Below are 4,384 nucleotides of genomic sequence, written 5' to 3'. Positions count from 1 at the left end.
TAAGTTTAGGGAAATTTTAGAGAATTAATTTTAAAAATAATGTTATCTGTTTCTCTCTTTTCTCTCTTCCTGGAACTCCCAGGCTAGTCTTCTCTTTTTCTTATCTTTTGTCTTCTATTTCCACCTCTTGGTCTCTTTTTTTTTCTGGGAGATATCCTGGACTCTATCGTCAATCCTTTTAATGAGTTTTTCTTTCCATTCTTAATTTCCAAGGACTCGGTTTTTTTCTTGACTATTTTCTGAAACAACATATTTTTCTTATTTTGAGGTTTCAATATCTTATCTGAGGATTTCAAATATAGGCGTGGAGATTTTTTTGTGTTGTTGTTGTTGTTGTATTGTTAAAATTTTCCTCCCTCCTGTAAAGTTTCTGTTTTATCCAGGTTTCTTTTTTTCTCTGTTAGTTTTGGTCTCTATCTTTCACATCAGAGACTGCAATCTGTTGTTGTTGGTTCATTTTTAAGAATGAGAGACTAAGAACCTGATGAAATGCTCTGAAATCATGGGTAGAGCTTATCAATTATGGAATGTTTTGTGGGGTGATCTGTCTGGGATGTTTCACCAGGAAATCTATAGTGCCAGTATCTTTTGATCTTTCCTCTTAGTCTAGTCAGATTTCTCAGAGAAGATACTTGGTCTTTTGCCTGGATGGTAAAATTGTCCTATCTTTTCTCACTGTTAGAAAAGTAATCCAGTACGGCACCCACTGTCAGAATCTGCAGGAACAGAATTCCCAGGCTCCCAAGCTGAGTCAGTTAAACAAACTTACCGTAGACAAGTGATAAATGTGTTCATTTTTTAAAACTATTGAAAGGGCAGTAGTGTACTTAAAAATTGATACCCAGTCATTTTTTTTTTTTTTTTTTTTTTTTTTTGAGACAGAGTCTCGCTCTGTCGCCCAGGCTGGAGTGCAGTGGCACAATCTTGGCTCACTGCAAGCTCTGCTTCCCAGGTTCACGCCATTCTCCTGCCTCAGCCTCCCGAGTAGCTGGGACTACAGGCGCCCGCCACCACACCTGGCTAATTTTTTGTATATTTTTTTAGTAGAGATGGGGTTTCACCGTGTTAGCCAGGTTTGTCTCGATCTCCTGACCTTGTGATCCACCTGCCTCAGCCTCCCAAAGTGCTGGGATTACAGGCGCGAGCCACCGCACCTGGCCCAGTCATTTAGGATTTTTACTCACCAATTTTTGTTGGCATTTGTTTCCATCAATTGCTTTTGCCAATGGCTAATAGTTGTACTCTTCCATAGTTGAGTTTACACACCTATATGGTCTGCAAATAACTGAGTGTTAATTAGCATTAATTGAGTGTGGCTATTCTCTACACACATTCCAGTCTGCTCCTTTTGGGTTCAGTCTGTCCACAAGTGCTACATGAGGAGTCTCTTAGAGTTGTAGCTTGTGCTGCTCCCTATTGGAGGGAATAACCCCATGCTTATTGAGGGCTGATCCTTGACTAGGAGGCGCCATTACAAAAAGAAACAGGATCAGGCTGGGCACAATGGCTCATGCCTGTAATCCTAGCACTTTGGGAAGCTGAGGCAGGTGGATCACTTGAGGTCAGGAGTTCAAGACCAGCCTGGCCAACATGGTGAAACCACGTCTCTATGGAAAATACACACACGCACAAAAATTAGATGTGTGGGGTGGTGCGTACCTGTAATCCCAGCTACTCGGGAGGCTGAGGCAGGAGAATAGCTTGAGCCCAGGAGATGGAGATTGCAGTGAGCTGAGATCATGCCACTGCACTCCAGCCTGGGTGACAGAGCAAGACTTCGTCTCAAAACAAACAAACAAAAAACTGCTCTGATCTGGAAAAAATAAATTCAATCAAAGATCTCTTAACTGATGTAGTAAATTTGTGTTTATGGTCATATTCAGTACTTCCCCGGCCTCCCTCCTCTTCCCCTTTATGATTTGATTCCCGGATAGTTTGTTCATAATTTATCTACCATTTAGTTAAAAAGAGTTTTCATTTTTACTTTCATCTTTCTGGTGAATTGTGAAATTATAAGTTCCTGTCCCAGTTTACTTAGTGGATTTTCATCAGATTGGTCACCATCATCATGTAGAACCTAAAAGGTAGAGGGAAATTTCATTTTAGACTCATATGTTTACTTGTTAGTTTAGACTCATTTGTTTACTTGTTAGTTTTCCCTTGTTTTCCCACTCTTTGTCCCAATCCTTCACTTGTATTTATCAAAGCAAAGTTCAAAATTCCTTATTTGTATTTATCAGATCCCTTCATAGGTAGCATCACCAGATGTACTTGGGGTTTTGGCAATTTATTGATGGGACTCTTACCTGTCCCCATTATTGTTACTCACTCTTTGGTCTGTCACCATGGAGTTATATGTTGGAAGCAATTAGGAGAGTAAATGGCTTGTGATAGAACAGTAGGCTTCCTCATGCATGTTCCTGAGTCAGTGAAAATCCTCAGCTATAAAGTGAGGAGTCAATGCCTCCACCCTCCTTTACTTGCTGCTTAGGAGATGGGCAAGTAGGAAGGGCCATTTTATATTCAGATTATAAACCCATTCTTGACAAATCAGATGCTAAGAAATCAGGAATGCTGTTTTTCTGTACATCTCCTTAGTGGTGGCTTTTACCGAATTCAGCATTAATTGTGACAACATAGTTTTGGCTCTGATGAGAGGGCAGCAGTGAAATATAACCTACCTTTAGGCCGGTGCCTCCAGGCACAGAAAAGGGTAGGGAAAGGATAAGCTCACAGGGCTGCTGTGAGTAGCACGTGCGTGGACTGCTAAATACGTTGGGTCCTCCCCCAGGCCAAGGCAGCATCCACTCCTCCACGGTCTCTCTGGTCATGTGACCACTTGTCTGCCTCTCTCATCTTATCAGAACATCTACAGCTTTGTTCCACGGGATTCTTCACTAGGGATCTGATGGCATCCACGTGAGGAACCAGGAGCTTAATTTTGTCCGCCAGTCAATGGAATCCACAGCCGGCAGCCAAGCCAGTGGCCTAAACATAAATCACTGCCTGCGAATTTGAATACAGGAAAGTCTTGTTTGCTCTCTAGAGCCCAGCTTCAAGTCATCGGTACTGCCTTTGGTTCTGCCCACTGGGAAGAAGCCCCTCATTCTCCTCTCCAAGTATCCCCCCCAGGCAGGGTATAAGGGGACCGCCACCGCTGGAGGTTTTAGAAGTGAGGGAGGCAAAGCCACCCACAAAACCGGCGGCAGCTCAGAGTCCACCGTGCTTCTCCGGCACCGATGCCGGGAGCCTGCAGGGGGCGCCCTTGCCCAGGCTGGCCTCCGCAGTGCCGGAGGAGGGACCAACCTCCGTGGGGCTGAGCTTTTCGATCTCTGGAGTTCCTCTTCAGCACTGGAGCTAGCTTTTGTTTGAACGTGACCGATTCCTGTTATACAGCTTGGGACCCCGAAGTACTTGATGTCCCTTGTCTTAGCTTCCATAAGCAGCTGGTAACTGACATTCAAAGGGAGCATCCTCAGGACTAGAAGCCACAGGCTAAGTCCTTCCCCTCCCTCAGGAATTCCCAGAAGGCTCCGGTCATCAGCAGTTAAGGAGACACACTTCATATTCTGATTGGTGATATGGACCCAGAGGAAGGGCAGCAGGCACTGTGGTCTGCAAGGCTTCGGAGGCAGTGGCTGGTTCGGACCGCATGCAAATTCTGATGCCCTTCTAATAATCTAATACCCAGATGTGGATCCAAGATGCCCATTAATATCTATGCCTGCTTTTTAGTGGTAGGGGGCTTGAAAAACAAAAGCCTCTATCTGGTCCAGGGTGAATTCCTCTAGCGGGCAGAGGCAGAGCCAAACTGCATCTTGGAGGGCGCCTGAATTTTCTCATGATTGATGGCACATCCCTTTCAGTCAAAAAAATCAAGGGAAGACAGAGCTTCAAGCACAGTTGTTTCTGAATTACCCCTAATTAATTTGTCATCGTTGTACAGAATAACTTCAGTATCTGAATTAGGCCACCTATTAAAATCCTGCTTTATCAGATTATGGCACATTGCCGGAGAATGGATATTTCACTTTGAAGGGAATTGCTGGCCTCGCCAAATGAAGGCTAGCTAAAAGTAGGGTTGTCAGATTTAGAAAATACGAATAGAGGGCACCCAGTGAAATTTGGGTTTAAGAGACATAACAAATAATTTTTTATTTAAGTGTGTTCCAAGTATTGCATGGGATGTACTTATACTAAAAATCAATTTGTTCTTTTTCTGAAATTCAAATTTAAGTGGGCATCCTGTATTTTATCTGGCAACCCTAACTGTAAAAAGAGAATTCAAACAATTTAAAAGACCTTAGACCTTCGGTACCATTGTAGAGAGATAATCACCATTAAGAGTTTGGGGTGTGTCTTTCCTTTTTTTGTTTTGTTTTTG

The 4,384-nt window shown here is 43.3% G+C and overlaps 1 long non-coding RNA gene across 1 annotated transcript, besides 1 other annotated feature; it reads right to left on the bottom strand.

Annotated features, from left to right (window-relative positions):
• Positions 1 to 1,848: 1,848 nt before the first annotated feature.
• On the bottom strand, positions 1,849 to 3,996 carry LOC124901317 (uncharacterized). The gene is made up of 2 exons (XR_007059578.1): positions 2,682 to 3,996; positions 1,849 to 2,077 (listed from the first exon to the last, which is right to left on the bottom strand). It is a non-coding gene; the product is annotated as an uncharacterized LOC124901317 (long non-coding RNA).
• Positions 2,949 to 3,128: an enhancer, noted in NCBI's record as "active region_24557". NCBI's record gives its function as "activates an Ori minimal core promoter by ATAC-STARR-seq in GM12878 lymphoblastoid cells {active_cell/tissue: GM12878}" and the evidence as "EXISTENCE:reporter gene assay evidence [ECO:0000049][PMID:35858748]".
• Positions 3,997 to 4,384: the final 388 nt, after the last annotated feature.

This window comes from Homo sapiens, chromosome 6 (assembly GCF_000001405.40).
Source record: "Homo sapiens chromosome 6, GRCh38.p14 Primary Assembly".
Lineage (NCBI taxonomy): Eukaryota > Metazoa > Chordata > Mammalia > Primates > Hominidae > Homo > Homo sapiens.
The sequence above is the reverse complement of the archived record's forward strand: the minus strand, read 5'-3'. Positions and strand labels throughout refer to the sequence as shown.